Genomic DNA, 19,723 nt, shown 5'->3' with positions numbered 1-19,723 from the left:
ATGAATTGCCAAATGCCAAATGCAGGTGAAATAGGATGAGGACTGAGAATTGACTGCTGGCTTTACCAATACGGAGGTCATTAGTGGCCTTGAAGAGAGCTGTTTCAATGAAATGGTAGTGGGGGTGGGAGGGAAGAGAGGAAACCCTGGGGCAAATAAAAATGGTGAATATGAATTTTATCGGGAGACTTGCTGTAAAGGGGACCAGAGAAGTGGGCTGGTAGATGGAAAGGGATGGAAGAGGAGGTATGTTAAGGTAGGAAATGGAATTCTGTGTGTTTATTATTATAATATTTCTTTCTGAGTTTTAGGTTTAGGGAGTACATGTGCAGGTTTGTTATATGAGTCAATTGTACGTTGCTGGAGTTTTGTGTACAGTTTATTTTGTTATGCAGGTAATAAGCACAGTACCTAATAGGTAGATTTTCAGTCCTCACCCTCCTCCCACCCTCCACTCTCAGGTAGGCCCCTTGTGTGTATTGTTTCCTTCTTTGAGTCCATGTGTACTCAATGTTTAGCTCCCACTTGTAAGTGAGAACATGTGGTATTTGGTTTTCTGTTCTTGAGTTAATTCACTTAGGATAATGACCTCCAGCTGCATCCATGTTGCTGCAAAGGACAAGATCTCATTGTTTTTTTATGGCTGCATAGTATTCCGTGGTGTGTATGTACCGCATTTTCTTTATCCGGTCCACCGTTGGTGGGCATTTAGGTTGATTCCATGTCTTTATTATTGTGACTAGTGCTGTGATAAGCATACATGTGCATGTGTCTTTATGGTAGAATGATTTATATTCCTTTAGGCATATACCAAGTAATGGGATTGCTGGGTTGAATGGTAGTTCAGTTTTAGGTTCTTTGAGTAATCGCCAAACTGCTTTCCACTGTAGCTGAACTAGTTTACATTTCTGCCAGCAGTGTATAAGCATTCCTTTTTCTCCACAACTCTCGCAGCATGTTATTTTTTTACCTTTTATAATAGCCATTCTGACTGGTGTGAGATAGTATCTCATTGTTTTGTTTTGTTTTGTTGAGACAGGTGCTAGCTCTGTTGCCCATGCTGGAGTGCAGTGGCACAATCAGAGCTTACTGAAGCCTCGAACTCCTGGGCTCAAGCAATCTTCCCACCTCAGCCTTTCAAGTAGCTGGGACCACAGGGGTGTGCCACCGTGCCTGACTAATTTTTTAATTTTTTTTTGAAGAGATGAGGTCTTGCTATGTTGCCCAGGCTGGTCTCAAATTCATGGGCTCAAGTGATCCTCCTGCCTTGGCCTCCCACAGTGCTGGGATTGTAGGCATGAGCCACCATGCCTGGGCCTCACTGTGGTTTTGATTTGCTTTTCTCTAATGATTATCAATGTTAAACATTTTTTCATATGCCCAAAAGCTCCTAGATCTGATAAACAACTTCAGCAAAGTTTGAGGATACAAAACCAGTGTACAAAAATCAGTAGCATTTCTATAATCAAAAATGCCCAAGCTGAGAGCCAAATCAAGAACACAATCCCATTCACAATAGCCACACACACAAAATAAAATACCTATGAATACAGCTAATCAGGGAGGTAAAAGATCTCTACAGTGAGAATTACAAAACACTGCTGAAATCAGAGATGACACAAACAAATGCAAAAACATGCCATGCTCATGGATTGGAAGAATCAATATTGTTAAAATGGCCATACTGCCCAAAGCAATTTACAGATTTAATGCTATTCCTATTAAACCACCAATGACATTCTTCACAGAATTAGAAAAGAACTATTATAGTATTCATATGGAACCAAAAAAACAGCTGAAATAGCCACAGCAATTCTAAGCAAAAAGTTAGAATTCTAAGCACTGGAGAGATCACGTTACCCAACTTTATACTACAAGACCGCAGTAACCCAAATAGCATGGTAGTGGTACACAGACACATAGACCAATGGAACAGAATAGAGAACCCAGAAATAAAGCCACACACCTACAATCACCCAACCTTTGACAAAATCAACAAGAACAGGCAATGGGGAAAGCGATGAAAGCACCAGGCCATAAATGGTGCTGGGATAACTGGCTAGCCGCGTGCAGAAGATTGAACCTGGATCCCTTCCTTTCATCATACACAAAAATTAACTCAAGATGGGTTAAAGACCTAAATGTAAAACCCAAAACTATAAAAACCCTGAAAGATAACCTAGGAAATGCCATTCTGGACATAGGCCTTGACAAAAGATTTCATGACAAAAGTGCCAAAAGCAATAATAAAAATTGACAAATGGGACCTAATTAAACTAAAGAGCCTCTGCACAGCAAAAGAAACTATCCACAGATTAAACAGACAAACTACAGAATGGGAGAAAATATTTGCAAAGTATGCATCCAACAAAGGTCTAATATCCAGAATCCACAAGGAACTTAAGCAAATTAACAAGCAAAAACATACATCCCCATTAAAAGATGGGCAAAGGACATGAACAGATACTTCTCAAAAGAAGACATATACGTGGTCAACAAGCATGTAGTATGCTTAACTGTTATGAGATTTAATCAGTAACGTGGGAAAAAGGTGATGACAGAAAAAAAAGCGGAGATCCCATTTGTTGGCCATGGGATCTAATGCTGAAGTGGAGGAATTTTCCTTAGAACTGATTGCTTGTTCATAGGAGGGAAGGCAGAGTACCTGGGCACAGTTATCAGAGCTGGCCAGAGGCACTGGTTGTAAGACTGTGGTCTTTTTCTATTGGTTTTCAAATTATCAATAAATGGGATGAGCTTGGATTGGATGCATTGGATGGAAGTGAGTATAGGTGAGGAAGTGCTAGGGGTCTGAGGACAGAAGAGAATGAGGGAAATAAGTCATGGAGGAGAGTGGGAGAAAAAATGATATAGGGCAGCATTAAGGATCTACTGGAGATCAGTGACCTTGAATGTGAAATGAGACAAGTCTTCACAATGGTGAGTTTTTCTCCAGCACACAATGAGCTGTGTGCACATCAGCCTGGAGAAGAAGGAGAGTTGATTTGAACAGGGTCAGATGTTGCCTGATAACTACAAGTGTGTAATCCCAGGGTAATAGAGCTTATCTTTCACTCGTGTGAGTGCAAGCCAGGAGAGCTTTAAGCTCCAGTGATGCCAGATAGGTTGGAAATGGCTGAAGAAGAAGTGGAAGTAGATGGATAGAGAGCAGTCTTGTTTTGTCCTAGAGAGTATTGCACAAGCCTGTGGATCAGATAATGCAACTAGGAAAGTCTGTCCCCAAAAAGGAAACACATAAGTTCTAAGCATACCATTGGACCAGAAGAGATAACAGATCATTTGGATTAGAGGGAAGAAAGACTTGCAGTCCAGAGGCTATTCAAGGATGTCAGATGCCAGTTGTGGGTGTTTGCAGAGTTGCTAAAATATCAGGTGAGGCCAGGCACGGTGGCTCACACCTATAATCCCAGCACTTTGGGAGGCCGAGGCAGGTGTTTGAGACCAGCCTGGCCAACATGGCGAAACCCCATCTATACTAATAATACAAAAATTAGCCAGGAGGGGTCACCCACACCTATAATCCTAGCTACTTGGGTGGCTGAGGCAGGGACAATTGCTTGAACCCAGGAGGCGGAGGTTCAGTGAGTTGAGATAGTGCCACTGAACTCCAGCCTGGGTGATGGGTGACAGAGCGAGACTCTGTCTCCAAAAAAATTAAACAAAAACAAGAATCAGGTGGGATCTGGTTCCGACAACGGTCTCCAGGTTCAAGTGTCCATGGTGGTTAATAGCGTGGATGTGGAGATGAGCACATGGACCATCACCCTCACTCCCTCATTCCTGCTGTCCTGCCACCACAAATACACAGAAGCTTAACCCTAGACCCAGGAACCATCCGGGCAAGGAGAACAGGGATGGAGGATGCATCCTGAAAGATGAGGAATTTGCCCCAAAGACACTGGGTAAGACAAAATAAAAGAATGTTTCATCCTGGAATTGAGTTGCCTTTTAATTGGGAAGTTGAAGTTTTCCCCCACCCCCTCACTTCTATTCAGCTCAAAAGTCAGATGACATCAGTCATGGCAAATAAAGGAAAATGACATACTTTTTTTTTTTTTTCTCATTTGATTTGTAATTCCTAAACTTCTATCTGGGTACAGACGTTTTGGATTATTCAGAGATTTAAAAAATACATACTAACTCTGTTCCCCTGTGGTAATTAAAAGTTGGCCATGTAAGAAAGAAAATATTAAAAGTATGGAGAAGGCTGTAGAAAAAGGGAATAGATCCAGAGATTCTAGGGGAATATCAACCTCATGCTAAGCCAAGCCGTGAGGACATGGTGAATTCACTGATGAGCAAGAAGCAAAGCCGCTTGTCAGCTGGTATTAAATGTTGACTTCTCCCTAGTCTTTGTGTCTTGGTCAATACCAAATGAGAGAATGTTTGCTCTTAAGTTCACTCTAGGAAACTACCCACCAAAAACTTGCTTTACCTTTCTGTCTCTTTTCTTTTCCTTTCCTTTCCTTTCCCTCCCCCTCCCCTCCCCCACCCCTCCCCTACCCCCTCCCCTCCCCTCCCCCTCCCCCCTCCCCCTCCCCTCCCCTCCCCCTTCCCTCCCCCTACAGTTTCTGGTTCTCTGGGCACGTTTTGATCCCAGTGAGAAGCTTCTTTTGTACCAAACTTCCCAAATCCCATCATTGCATTGTTATCTGGCTTTGAAATGTCACTGTGGCATCTCCACCCTTGCTTGGGAAACTTTGCTCAATGAAAAGTCTGATTAGCTTTACCTGACCCTAAATACACACAACAGAGACGGATCACAGAAGGACCAGAAGCAACAGGTTGGAGAGGTTCTTTCCGGTTAGCAATCCAAACCTCTGCACCTATTTGGCCTCTAGGCGGCGCCAGCCCTTCAAAAAACAAGGCTGTTTATGTAACAGATTGGCAGTTTGAACGTCTATATAAATGTCATTCTTTAAAAATAAAGACGAAACTCTCAGTTAACTTAAACAGGAGCAAATTAAAAAGTAGAGTGAAGCATGTATTTCATGAACACAATTCATCGGCTGTCTTTGGTACTTCAAAATGAAACATTTTCTCCAAATAACTGGCACCCTCCCACTGGCTTTAGCTACATAGTGACAAAACAACAGATCAATTCACTTCAGTGAAGAAGACAAATCCAGTCATTGAGGACTGGCTTCATGTGACTTACACACCTGGGGACAGAATTCTATCTATGCCACCAAATATATAAGCCAAGCCACTAAATCATGACTGAGGTGTTGAGTTTATCCTCCCAAACATATCGAGGTAGTGTTGTATGGACAGTCTCAATTGTTTTGAACATGATTATTTTGCTTCATGAACTCACCAGGAGGGTCCTTGAAATGCCGCTTTTCAACATAGTTTTAAGGGTAAGCCTGTAACACATAAAGCCGTCTCATTTTGAAGGCTTTGTGTCCTTGTGTGTTAATGCAGAATCTCAATCTTAGCTTCAAAATGGAATCACTTGGGGAGCTTTAAAAAAAATCCCAAGACTCAGGCACATACCCCAAACCAATTAAATAAGGATCTCTGGAGCTGGGACCCAAGCAACAGTGCTTTTTCCAGGCTCCTTAGGTGATACAATATGAGGCTATATTTTTGGTTCCTCTACTTTCTACTTGCAGCTCCTTCTCCCATGGGGCTGGCTACAGGAACCAATCTCCAGTACTTACACTATTTTCCCCCAGTTCCTTTTTCTCCCTGGGTCTGTCCCCAAACTTCATGCAGAACAATGCCTGTGAACAAGTCACATGCCCTTTAGATTCTTCCAGACCTATTTGAAATTCAGTGGTAGCCACATCTTGACTTCAAGTTTGGGGCCCTATACAGTCATTGACTAGTAGATATGAACAGTACCTCATAGGTTGTCTAGTATGGTGACTCCCAAATACCAGTCCTGAGCTGAATTCTCATCCTGAATAAGAATAATCCAGGGAGCTTGTTTAAAAAATTGTGTGTGTGTGTGTGTGTGTATGTGTGTGTGTGTGTGTGTGTACACACATATATAATAGAAATCCATCTATCTCTCTATATATACGTATAATTTTGTTACCAGAAAGTCTCATTCAGTAGGTCTACAGAAAGACCTGAAAGCTGTGTTTTAACAAGCTAAGCTTAAAGGAAACTCATCTAGTCCAACACTGCCAACACATAGCAGCAGCAAAATCTCAATGGGATATGCCTTGTTCAAGGAAACTTGTCTAGTCAGGAGAAGCGATAGGATTAGAATCAGGTGTCCTGACTCCTGTGAAAAGAAGTCATGCTATGGACAAATACAGTTTTTGCATTTCAAAACTAAACACACACACACACACACACACACACACACACACACACAGCCTTGCCAATCTTACCAGTTAGACATTAGAGAAAGAGCAAACCATCCTGGGAAATCAGATCTGGGTCCTAGCTCCTGCTTGGTCACATAAGCTGTGTGGTTTGGGGCAAATATTTTCATCTCTTTGAACCCCAGTTTCTTCATCTTTCAAATGGGGGTAATAGTTGCCTCATAGAGTTTTGTGAGGATTAAATGATACAACATATCTGAAAGATGGATAGTGGAGCCTGGTACTGAGTAAACAAAACTGGTTGCTACCACCTCTACTATTATGCTACTATTGTGATCATTATTATGAACATTAATCAGCTTTTGTCTGGCCTTGTGATATGGTAGAATGAGTCAGATATTGGCCCAAAGGGATCCTCCATGTTCTTTTACTTCAGTGATGCTTGAGGCCCTTGTCCAACTCAGCATGTCAGAAAAAATGACCGGAAGGAGCCTGAAGCTTTTTGTTTGTTAGATATATTTTTTTGATTATAAAGGAAATATACATCATTGTAGAGTACATAGAAATGTTCAGAATCATTGCAAAATATTGCCTTCATTCGTTTAAATCAAAAGTATGAAAATACTGTCCGTACGATTTTGTATCTTTATTTTCAAATGAACATTTCCTATGTCATTAATTTTTTGACCATATCACTTTAATAGCTGCATACTATCTAATCATATGGCTGTATTTAATTAACTATTTTCTGATTGTTAGACATTTATGTTATTTCCAGCTTTGTTACAATAATTAACACTTTGGTGAAGGTCTTTGTAGATAAAGTATTTTTCTGAGCTTCTGATTATTTCCTCAGGACTGTGTCCCAGAATGAGAGTTTTGGGGTTAAATGATTTGCACTTTTAATGATTCTATGTGTTGCCAAATTACTTTCGGGAAAAGTTGTACCAATTTGTTTGTGCACTAGAAGCCAATGACACTACCAACTCTGAGTATTTTCTTTTCCTAATTTGATAGGTTAAAAGTAGTATCTCATTTTAGTGCATTTAAAAACATTTACTAGTAATATTAGATTTTTAAATATTTATTAGTCATTTATATTCTGTCCTCTGGAAATTGTCCATTTACTTGATCTATTTTTCTCTTGGAATTTAGTGAGTTAGTGTCTTCCTTATCAGAATATATGAGTATTCATGTAGAATTGACAGATAACTTTGTAGACCTCTTTTCATAGATCTTTTTAGCAGATCTGTAGTGTAATTAGTATGAACATCTCTCTACTATCATAAAAACTTGCCAACTAAAGGAATATACAAATTGTATAGGACTTGGGACATGAGCTCTGGAGCAGTGAACATCGCACGTTTCCCATAAGTGATAGTTTTGAGGAATGGCAAGGTTTGGAGTTAGGTGGATCTGGGTCTAAACCCTAGTTCTGTCGCTTACTGGTTTTGCAGTCTTGGTTTTGTTGTTTTATCTTCCTGAGTCTTACTTTCCTTTTCCATAAAACGGAAACTATATATTCAGTTTCAGGGCTCATGTGAGGATGCCAAGAGAAAGGGTGATATCAACACCCCGACACATGTATCAGTGCCCTCAGGGTCTGGCACCAGAAACTGTAGCAATGATCCTAAGGGATCCAGGTCCCTGACCCAGAACTGCCACCCAGAGTATTGGTGACCTGGCCTGGCCTGGTGGCTTTGGCCCTGTGGAGCAACTTTAATGCTAGTTACAGCAGCACCAGGGGCTTAGTGGATAGATAGCTTAGCCATAGAGATCTCTGAAAGTATTCAGAGCTAAAGAAGAGGAAACCCATATATCACATGTGGCCATGGAGAGGACTGATTTTGAATCCACATGAGATGCTTTTTGGAGACTCCCAAGATTAGGTCAGGGAGAAGAGTTGGCAGTGGGCTAGAGCCAGAGAACTATTGCTTTCTACTGCTATTGTGACCCTACTTTAATATCATGCCATGTGGCTTATGGGTAACAAACAGATTGGGAAATGGAGGCCCACAGAGGTGTAATGACTTACTCAAGATCTCACAGCACATCATCTCCAAACTCAGGTTTTCTAACTGCTTGCTCCCTGCCCTTTCTTCTTCATCACCTGTCACCAAGTAAATTTACCGAAGTCCGCAAATTTTTACCTTAGGTTGTCATAGCTCTGTATTAACTAACTGAATTTCTTGGAACTGGATACAAACACCAAGGCTGGAATGAGGGAAGAATCACCTTATCCTGTTAAATCTGGTTCAATGGGGGAAGGACCCTGGGGCAATTCAGAGTAGGGCAAGGGACCCAGGGGATGCCAAGTGTGTTCTGAGGCTTCTTGAAAGGGATGGATGCCTCTAAGAGAGGTCTAAATAGATCCTGATGTTTCAGGTTTAAACTAAAACCCTAAGCCGTGTTGAAAGTGCCCTTGTTTAACCCCGGGCTACTTAGGGTACTACAGGTGAGATGCCAGGTGTAAGCTAGGTTAACGCCATCCCCAGGGCTGGTGAGGGAGATAGACACCAGAACCACTGAATTCTGCCTGTTTTTCACACTTGAAGGCTTTGCACAGGAAAGCACGTGGAGCAGAAGTGATAATTCAGATGATTAGAGCAGAAGCCCTTTATGGAGTAGCATTACCAGATCTTTTTATTTGCTATATCTGGCAAGTTTACGAGCAACTGAGGATTTACTTTAACTGAACCATTTGGTTTAGCTGTCTACAATTAATTGATCAATTTCACAGGTTAATTGGCTTAGGGCTTCATTTCACTTTGTGGTATAGACTTTGATCGTCACTGGAGTTATTTCTTATGCTTCTAATTTGTTTCAATTATGGCACTAAGATGCTCAGTAAAAATGAGTGGAAATGGGGCCAGGTACGGTGGCTCATGCCTGTAATCCCAGCACTTTGGGATGCCAAGGCGGGTGGATCACGAGGTCAGGAGATCAAGACCATCCTGGCTAACATGGTGAAACCTCGTCTCCACTAAAAACACAAAAAATTAGCCAGGTATAGTGGCGGGCGCCTGTAGTCCCAGCTACTCGGGAGGCTGAGGCAGGAGAATGGCATGAACCCGGGAGGTGGAGCTTGCGGTGAGCCGAGATCACACCACTGCACTCCAGCCTGGGTGACAGAGCAAGACTCCGTTTCAAAAAAAAAAAAAAAAAAAAAAGGTGGAAATGATTTCTCTTCTGAGAGCTGCTCTTATTGTAGTTGTGGGTTGAAGAGAGCAGGCATGACTGCCCATGGCTGGGCATGCTTTTAAAGGTCAGAGTACAAAATGGCCTTGGACAAGCCCCAGGTTCGCTGTAAGTGGCCTTCTGTAGCACCTTTGTGTGTGAGAATGAATGCTGTGACTCATAAGGGCAGTAGTGTGGATTGAGGGAGTATAAGGAGAAGACAGGCAAAGCAGCATGGGGACAGTGGCTGAACAGGCCCAGTGCTCACTAGGCCAGGTTGGGCTGTTTGGCGTTCACCTAGGTAACCTGTTGCCAGGAGGACAACAATAACTTCCCCATGACAACGCTGGAGCAAGAGCCCTGGCACTGCAAACAGAGCCAGAAAAGTCTGCCCTAGCTTGGACTTGCTGATTAATGAACATGCATTTGCACTACAATTGTTTCAGGAAGGGTGGAGGGGACAGAGGGCACTGACCAGCTTCCTTGCCTCTCCAGCCACCAGCTCCTTGACAGCCAACCTTTTCTGTCTACCCACATACTCTGTAGCTGCCACGTTTTAATTGTTGCTTGTTTTGAGAGGTTCTGTGATCTCTCTGTAATTTGTAGAAGGACTGAATGTTATATCCAGAAAGCTCCTTGGGAAACAGATTTAGAACCTGCCTGGAATTTACACTATCAGATGGTCTTTCACTGTCCCCTTTACTCAGTTTCTTTACCTGTAGTAGAATCAATTCCTATTACCTAAATTTGGGTGAATTTTTATGAGATCTCACTGCTCAGTCAGAACTTGCTGTAACTGTTTGTCTTGATACTCAAATTCAAGCCCTCTGAATTATGAGACTAGAGTATTGTCTGCCTCATGAAGAGGTCACTTTTGTTTCTAAGCACTTAAGCTCCTAACAGGAACCCTAGTCCTTTCCTCTCCTGCAGAGGTCATCAGAGCAGACAAGGTGGCACCATTCCAGGTAGGATTTAAGGAATCCAAGAAATTCCCAATGCAAAGTGGTTTTCCCTGGCGTTGCCTGAAATCGCACCTTTTTGTAAAGTGTTGTTTGGAGCTTTATGATAATATAATTTCTCTTGGGAGGATATTTCCAATCAGGTGTAACAGCTGGAAGTGAGGGGAATCAAAACAGATGAAGTTGCGGGGGGTGGGGGGGGGCATCACATTGCTTCACAATTACGTCTAGAGCCACCCTTCACAAAAATCCCATTGGAAGCTAATAGCATTATTTGACAAAAGGGTCTCATAGCCAAGTATGTTAGGGAAACATTGGGTTAAAACAAATTGAATAGGTCACTTTTCTGAACTATTGTTTCATGTATCAAATTTGGGAAACTAGCCCAGAGCAATGTTGAAAGGTCATTGAGCAAGATCTTGTTCTGTCACTCTTAACCACTCAGAAGACTAGAAATCTCTCCTTCTGTTTTAAGATTAGATTATTTGCTTGTTCTTAAGCAAATTAAAGTCAATTTTTAAAAAAGACTTAGTTTCTTTCTTTCTTTCCCTCTCTCCCTTCCTTTCTTCCCTTTTTCCTTCCTTCCTTCCCTTTTTTCTTTCCTTTCCTTCCCTTCCCCTTGCTTTCCTCTTCCTTTTTCCCTTCCCCTGCCCCTACCATTCCCCTTCCCCTTCCCATTTTTCTTTCCTTTCCTTCCCCTCCACTTTTCCTTCCCTTCCCTTTTCATTCTTGTCTCACTGTGTTGCCCAGGCTGGACTCAAACTCCTGGTCTCAAGCAATCCTCCTGCTTCAGCCTTCTGAGTAGCTAGGACTATAAGAGTGCAGCACCTGGCTAAGGTTTAGCTTCTTAATTTGTGAAACTGGAGTGATAATACCTGTCTCATAAGGTTGTTCTGAAGATTGAAGGAGATGACTTAGATAAAGCAGCTGTCAGAGTAAGCACTCAATGCTATAAAAATTAGGGAGCTGAAAACGTTAACATTGAATCAAGATTAATGTCAGTCCTGTTAGTCACAATAATAAAGACTGTAAACAAAGAACAATAATACCACCCATCCCAGAAATATTGATACTATCATGTATAAGGTTCAGAATATGTAGTATCTAGTACCCAGTAGACGTTTTGACATATTTACTGAATAGATGTGTAGAGGAACACCTATGTACATTTGTATCAAATTTAATCTGTATCAATAGAGAGCACATGAGGCTGACTCCCGCCTATTAGCTACAATAGCTCAAAGATTAGAGAACTTTCTATGTCATCTAATAGTCCAGAGGTAGGTTGGTAGTTTAGAGTGAGTATACTGTTGTCTGCCCTAAGAAGGCATCCAGAGCCCCAGGTGGGCTGGTCTGCTCTGCTGTCTTCAATGTGGAGCTTCCATCTGGGTGCAAGGCTACTACAGCTGTCACTGTTTCAGCCAGCAAGACGGGAGAGAGGAAGACAAAAGTAAGTGGTTTTGTGAAAAAGATTCTGTGTACTGGAACTTAGTCACGTGGCCATACTCAGCTATAAGGAAGGCAGGGATGTTAGTCTCCAGTTGAGCAGCCGTGTGCTCAGCTAAAGCTTGGGTGCTTCTGTCACTGAGAGGAAGAAGGTGATAGTGGGTAATGAGGGCCAGTTAACAGTCCCTGCCTCCAAAACCTAGCCCAATTCTACACCTGGACCTGGGAAGGAAAGGCGCTATCAGTGAATGTTGACTATTAGGGTCAGTGTGTTGATCCTATAGTGTTGGATTGGGGTATTTTCTTCTATTTTGGGATTTCCACTTCAAGAAATTTAGATAAGCTGGAATGGATTTGCAGAACTTCAACCAGAATAGTTAGTGATGGGATGGGAATCCAAAGGATATGAGAAATCCTTGGAGGAATTAAGCATTTTTAACCTAAAAGAGAGAAGATTTAGGGATAACAGGTTTCTGTCTTTAAGTACATAAGGACTCCCAAGTTGAAGAAGAGCTAGGAAGGGCTCATGCTTTAGTCTCCCTGGTATCTTTCCATTCCACCCCTTGTACCAGTTGACAACCTGGGCATTTTGAATTTCTTTTTGTTCCTGTAATAAATCATATTTTCTCTTGTTTCTGGGCCTTTGTTCATGTGTTCTCTCTGTCTGAACCACTCCCAATGTCTCTCTTCCCACCCAGATGTTCATCTGGTTATTTCCTGCTCATCCTTCAGGTCTCACCTTAGACATTCTGAACTTTGGGAAACTTTGGCTCACACTCAAGTCTGTGACCAGTGCCTGCCTTCATCATATTTCTTCGTCATAACCCATCATACTCTATCATCATTGTGTAATTGGGTGAATTTACCACTGACCGCTGTCGCTCAAGTACAGGCTCCATAGATTTCCCTGCAGCTTCATTATTTATCTGGTTGTCAAGAACTGCAACTTCTGCTTCAACGGACCAATCAGTGTCATGAGCTGTTGAAATGGGAGAGAAAGGGAAGTTGAGTGATGGTAGCTTGGGTGGTACAGTGGGTTGAATAGTGTCCCCCCGAAATTCATGTGTACCCAGAACCTTGGATGTGACCTTATTTGGAATAGGGTCTAGATGGAATTAGTTAAGATGAGGTTGTAGTGGATAAAAGTGTGCCCTAAAACCAATGATTGATGTCACGAGACAAGGAGAGGACTCAGAGACACACACGCACAAAAGAAGGCCCTGTGAAGATGGAAGCAGAGATGAGAATTATGCTGCCACAAGCCAAGGAGTGCCTGTGACCTTTAGAAGCTGGAAGAACAAAGGATTCATCTCTAGAGCTTTCAGGGGGAGTGTGGGCCTGCTGACAACTTGAGACTTACAGCTTCTAGAACTGTAACAGAATACATTTCTGTTGTTTTAAATCATGCAGTTTATGCTAATTTGTTATGCAGCCTTAGGAAACAAATACAGATGGCTCAGGGCAAGATGGGCCTGTTTGCTCCCGGACAGTCTTATGGTGACATGCATGTAGCTGCCAGTAAAGGGTCCTAACCACACAGCAAAGTGAAGCACAGCTAATGTGATCCTTCAGCACAGTGACAAACAGTGCTTGCTCTAATGGCAAAGGTGATCTGCAGGAATCAGCTTAACCCACTCCTGGCTCGCCTGGTGCTGGTGGTGGATGATTCTGAAAAGTCTCTCAGCATCGATTGCATTTTTTCTAAGTTATCTCCTGAGTCCAGTCCCTCTTCTCAGTGGGCTCCCACTCCCTCCCAGGTATTGCCTCCGACTTAATCTCTACCTCTCTTCATCTCCATCTCAACCTTCATCTCCACCTCTCTTCATCTCCATCTCAACCTTCACCTCCACCTCTCCTCATCTCCATCCAACCTTCACCTCCACCTCTCCTCATCTCCATCCAACCTTCACCTCCACCTCTCTTCATCTCCATCTCAACCTTCATCTCCACCTCCCTTCATCTCCCTCCACCTAAGTGGAGGTTGTTTAATTTCTCTGGGATCTTTGACTGACTGGGTCTTTCGCTTTTTAATTAACTATCAAAGCCTAAACACTACACCAGTGGTTTTCAAAGTGTGATCCTTGGACCAATAGCATCAGCAATACCTGGAAAGGTTTTAGCAGTGCCAACTCGCAGGGCCTGTGCCAGACCTATTGAATCAGAGACTCTGGATGGGTACCAGCAATCTGTGTTTTAACAGGCCTTCCAGGTGATTTGAATGTGCACCAAAGTATGGGAACAATTTGTCTACACCTTGCTGTCTTGGGAGCCCTGCTTCTTTCCTTTCCTTCTACTGGCAAAATCCAGACATCACAAATCAGAAATGATTTGGCTTTCAAAACCATTATTTCTGATGTGGGTTTTGGGAGTCTACACTGAATTTCCTAAAAGTAAGTTTTGGTCATTTCTGTGTATTTGCATTCCTGATGGAAAGTGTTAATTTTCATTAAGGGTATGTGAAAACCTCCAGCTGACTTGGCAAGGGCTCTGTTCAAGGAAATATAGAGAAGAAAAACACAAAGATTAATTGAAATTAATTGATACACTAAAATAAATATAATATCATGCTGCATTCATTTATTCATCTGTGTCCCCATCTAGACTAGATGCTTTCCAAGGGCAGGAACTGTTTCAGTCGAATTCATCATTGCATTACCAGCACCAGAAGTAGGCCTCATCACTTGAAGAAATGACAGTATTAATACGTTGTAAAGATTGTGAGTTCCCCATTGCTAGAGGTATTTAAACACTGGGTAGATGCTACTGGCACGGATATGCTGGAGGAGGTTCGCATATCAGGTGGGTGGGCAGACTAGATGAATTTTAAATTTCTCTCTCATCCTGGAATGCTGTGATCCTTTGCTATAGAACCCTGTAGAGATAGAGGGTGGGGTTGTGCTGTACTTGGCACAGTGTGTAGCACATTCTTATTAAATGCTTTCTAGCCTATTGACTTCTCTGGTGAGGGTGAGGTAGGTGGGGTTATGGTGGTCTTATTATAGGCCCCCAGATACCACCTAGTTCCAGGACAAATGAAAGGCATTTGAAATACCACTGGGGGGCATTTTATCATTTGGAGGTATCTTTTTTTTCAGTTGTCAATATTTGTAAATTTGGAGAATTACTCTGACGTCAAAATGAAAACATTAATTATCGGAAACAAGCTAACAGAGAAAAGTGTGAGGATATGAATGGGAAAAAATGGCACTGCACACACACATGCGAGGTTTCCCCTAGCTGGTCAACATGCAGGCCTGGGGGTCGTGGACTCAGAACATTATCGTGGGAATGGGCTTCAGAGAGCTTTTGGTTCAAGGAAATGAAGGGCCACAGAGGTAGAAAATTCTTCGATCTCACACAGCTGCCCAAGTCGGCAGTATATTGGTGGATTGAAAAAGGTCTAGGCTATTTCTCTAAGTGTTAAAACGATAGCCTGGCAAGCAGGCAAGATTTGAGAGACTCTTACTCATCATCCTAAGCCTTTTGTAACAAATGCTGTTGGTGCACCTACACTCACCTCAAGAGCTGTGGTTGCTGGAGCTTATGAGAAACTATTAGGGAACTGCACTCTGTCAGCCTGCCATCTTAGGCCTGGGAGCTGAGTCACACTCCTCTTCTAATAGTAATAACAGTGAACATTTATTGGATGCTTGTCACGTGCCGGGCACTGATCTAAATGCTGCATGTGCCATAATGCTTTCAGTCCTCGCAACACCTGGTATGGCAGAGAGATTATGTCCATACCTGTTTTACGCAGGGAAAAACTGAGGCACAGAAAGCCTAAGAAATTCACCCAAGGTCACAAGCTATAGAGAGGCAGAGCAAGATTCCAGCCCAGGCTCTCTGGCTTCAGGACGACTTCCTTGCTTCTTAACATACATAATCATGATTTGGTTCAGAAGTCAGGAGCTTTATCTTTCTTGGGATTCTGGGCTTGGCCCCTCTAGATTTCCCCTTTATGGAGGGGCTGATCTGTCAGGGGATTATGGTTTAGGGCAGAGCCACATTTTACCTGTACACACTGGTGAAAAGGTGGGAGCAGAATGGGGTGTTGAGCATCCATGGATTCCACTTAGTGCTCCCTGTTTTCCTGACTCTCTGAGCCATGAACACCTCTATCTGCTGCTGGTTAGTGGGTTGAGTGGGTTCTGGTTTTGTTCAACTGGAACTTCAGGGGGAGCTGTGACCAAGCTCTTCTTCAGGGGCCACAGCATGATCCAAGCTACCTTGAAATCCCTAAAGGAGGCATGGAGATGGTTCTCTTGTTCCTGCCCTCTGAAGCTGCAAAGGGTTAGTCAGTCTCGGGTCTTGGGGCAGATTCTAACAGGACATGACTTACTGGCACTGGATCCCCGGGGTAGCAGCATCCAGGGCTTTTCCATCAGTGGGCCACGTGACCAGAAGACCATATGTGCTGGGCTCTGCCAGCCCTAATAACAGTGAGGAGTGGGAGAGTGAACAACACAGGAACATGCATTCGACATGAGTCACGTGCATGTGGAGGCTTTTGCCTTCCTACTTTCCTTTTTCCCGAGAGCCTTCTGAAGGCCCAGGCTCTTGATGCAATTTCAGCAGAATTAACTTGGACAGCTCAACTGAGAAACTTGATTCCACTGGGCTTCTGCTACACCGGTCACTGATCGCAACCTTCAGATGCACCTCGAGGAGTGACATTTAGGAGGAAGTTAGGCCCAGGTCCAGGGAGACACTTCTTGCCTACTGTGCTACTGCTCATGCCACACAGGCTGTTGCTTGTGCAAAATTCCAGGGGCTCAAGCCCCATTAACTGCAAAGTGGATGGCGCCCCCTGGAGTTGTGTGATGTGGTGGCACTGACTGGCCTTTATTCAGTGGGTCTGAAGGTCCTTTCCGGCCAGCTTCACAAAGCAGAGAGCTCAGAATTGTTGGTGACTCCTCCTCCTCTCTCATGCTTCCTACCCAATTCATTTCAATTCATCCTCACCTTTTACTCCCTAAATCCCACTTGAATCTGTCTGGTCTCCTCTGCTCCAGGACTTCCCTAGTGCACCCTCCACCCTCCTTCACCTGGACTACTGCAGGACCCTCCTAACTGATCTCCCACATTTCTCTTGACACCTCTTTCCAAAGCTCAAACTGGATCACAATATCACATCCTCCTCTCCTCCCTCTTCCCCTACTCTAATGACTCCTCTTTGCTCTGAATACAACATGGCCCTACACCCTGACATCTGTCCTCTGGCCATGCCCACCTCCCTCTGCTCTCTCAGTCTCACTGCTCTGGCCTTTTTGTTCAGGTCCTTGAAACCTGCTGTTCACTCTGCCTGGGACACTGGACACTCTCCCTTCTCACCTCTACACCAACTGCATCATTAACTCTCAATCAATCTTTCTCTCAGCTCCTGTCCCACTTTTTCATCTGACCTCCTTAACACAGATCACATTGTAACCTCCATTTATGAGATTACTTGTTTCATGTCTGTCTACCCCACCTGACTCTAAGCTGTGTATCTTGCTCTATGCTGTACCCCTAGTGTCAGCACAGGCAACTCAATAAGTATGTGTTGTTGTTAAAGGAATAACTTTATCCTTTGGTGGTGAGAAGGAAAAACCTTGCTGGCATGAGAGGACATGCACCCACAGCCAAGATGCTCCACGCTTATGCCAGTCCTTATGTACTTGTTCTTCCAAACCCAGCCCCAAACCTACCTTTCTCCTTCGCAGGCACTTCCAGCCTATGTTTCCAATTCTCTCTCATTTTTTTTGTCCTTGCTGTTGCTGTAGGTTCCATTTTTATTGTGATAAAATATATAAAACATAAAATTTACTATTCAAACTACTTTTTGGTGTGTAGTTTCATGACGTTAAGAACATTCACGTTGTTGTGCCGTCATTACCACCATCCGCTCTCCAGCATTTTTCATCATCCTAAACTGGAACTCTGTACCTATAAAAAATAACCCCCATTCCTCCCTCCCCCTGGTAAACACTACTCCACTTTCTGTCTCTATGAATTTTACTACTGTAAATACTTCATGTAAGTGGAATCTCACAGTATTTTTTTGTGACTATTTCACTTAGCATAATGTTTTCGAGATGTGTCCATGTTGTAGCATGTGTCCGCATTTCCTTGCTTTTGAAGGCTGAATAATATTCCATTGTATGTATATACCACATTTTGTTTATCCATTTATCCACTGATGGACATTTAGATTGTTTCTACCTTTTTCACTGTTGTGAATGATGCTGCTGTGAACATTGGTGTATATATTTTTCTTCAACAGACTATTTTTTCTTCAACTTTTATTTTAAGTTCCCGGGTACACGTGCAGGATGTGCAGGTTTGTTACATAGGTAAATGTGTGCCACGGTGGTTCGATGCACAGATCAACCCATCACCTAGGAAGTAAGCCCAGCGTCCATTAGCTGTTCTTCCTGAGGCTCTACCTCCCTGCCACCCCCGACAGGCCCCAGTGTGTGTTGTTCCCCACAGTGTGTACTTGTGTTCTCATCATCATTCAGCTCCCACTTATAAGTGAGAACAGGTGGTGTTTGTTTCTCTGTTCTTGTGTTAGTTTGCTGAGGATAATGGCTTCCAGCTCGATCCATGTCCCAGCAAAGGACATGATCTCATTCCTTTTCATGGCTGCATAATATTACATGGTGTATATGTACCACATTTTCTTTATCCAGTCTATCATTGATGGGCATCTAGGTTGATTTCATGTATCTTTTTATCCTTTATTTCTCAAGCTTCACATCATGAACAAGATTACTTTGATAGATGAAAAAAATAAAAACAAACATATTTATCTCAAAAAAAAGAGAGTTGATTTTGGCTCAAACTCTAGGTGGAAGTGAATCCTAAGTGTATCTTGTCTGGTTCCAGTGCTAATGAAGGTTAAAAGAAAGTAGAAAAGGCATCCTGGAGGTTATTAGTAGAAATGTGGATATTTTGCAGGAAAGGAAAGAATCATAGGAGAATCGAGAGCAACTGGAAGGTGAAGTAGGGATGGTTTTGAGGGAAGTGGGCTTAGTGAAAAATTTCAGTGGGCTCTGAAAGTCTGTCACAAATGCTGATTTAAAGATGAACTGTATGTTGTTCCTTAAACCTTTCTTTCTTTCATGTTTGTCCAAACATTATGCCCTAGCACATTTTCAGGGTTCTAGTCACCACATTAAGGGGTACTCTACCCTTTTTAAGTGGTTTCAAGGGGAACTTGTCACTCATCAAGAAGACATAAACAGCCCCAGAATAGGTCCTGTGCTAGCCTCAAATGTAAAACATACAGGAGAAAAAATGTGATTGTATTTGCAGCTTGGAAAACTCACATTTATGCATTCAAGTATAGAGAGGGTGGTGTAGCTATGGGCTTTATAGACATACCAGTTGGGTTCAGGTCCCAGTTTGAGGACTTACCAGCTGTGTGGCCTGGACAAATTATTTAATTTCTGAGTGATTCTGTGGTCTCAGCAATTAACTGTGGACAAAAATAGTACCTACAGCACCAGGCCGTTGTTGAGGATTAAATGGAACTATTTGACATATTACCTAGCACACAGTAAGTTCTCAGTAAATGTTAACTGCTATTTAGCACGTAAAGATACTACCTAAGGTTGTAGGGGTATAACTTTTAGGTTTTAAAGCAAGGTAAGAGAAATTGATGATTGAAGTGATTATTTTATTTTATTTTTGGAAACTTGAAACAAGTCACTCAGAGCCAAAACAAATGAAATGACTTACAGAAAATGGTACAAAGCAAATCAAGTGATTTACAGAAAATGGTGCTTGCTGAGTCATTGGCAGGCTTCCCGCTTCCTTGCATTTTTCTTAGTGATTTATTTGAATCCTGGACTATGTGTT

General features: G+C 42.7%; 1 protein-coding gene across 1 annotated transcript in view, besides 2 other annotated features; it reads left to right on the top strand.

Moving 5' to 3' along the window:
- Nucleotides 1–19,723, top strand: part of GLIS3 (GLIS family zinc finger 3) — a 666,339-nt gene that overhangs the window by 146,092 nt on the left and 500,524 nt on the right. The window lies entirely within an intron of this gene.
- Nucleotides 4,691–4,985: an enhancer, noted in NCBI's record as "tiled region #3538; HepG2 Activating DNase matched - State 12:CtcfO, and K562 Activating non-DNase unmatched - State 13:Ctcf". NCBI's record gives its function as "activates a minimal TATA promoter and a strong SV40 promoter by Sharpr-MPRA in HepG2 and K562 cells {active_cell/tissue: HepG2 | K562}" and the evidence as "EXISTENCE:reporter gene assay evidence [ECO:0000049][PMID:27701403]".
- Nucleotides 14,140–15,339: an enhancer, noted in NCBI's record as "CDK7 strongly-dependent group 2 enhancer chr9:4329035-4330234 (GRCh37/hg19 assembly coordinates)". NCBI's record gives its function as "activates an origin of replication core promoter dependent on BRD2, BRD4, P300/CBP, MED14 and CDK7 cofactors, with strong dependence on CDK7, by STARR-seq in HCT116 cells {active_cell/tissue: HCT116}" and the evidence as "EXISTENCE:reporter gene assay evidence [ECO:0000049][PMID:35650434]".

This window comes from Homo sapiens, chromosome 9 (assembly GCF_000001405.40).
Source record: "Homo sapiens chromosome 9, GRCh38.p14 Primary Assembly".
Taxonomy (NCBI): domain Eukaryota; kingdom Metazoa; phylum Chordata; class Mammalia; order Primates; family Hominidae; genus Homo; species Homo sapiens.
Note: the sequence above shows the minus strand (reverse complement) of the source record. Positions and strands in the feature narration are given on the sequence as shown.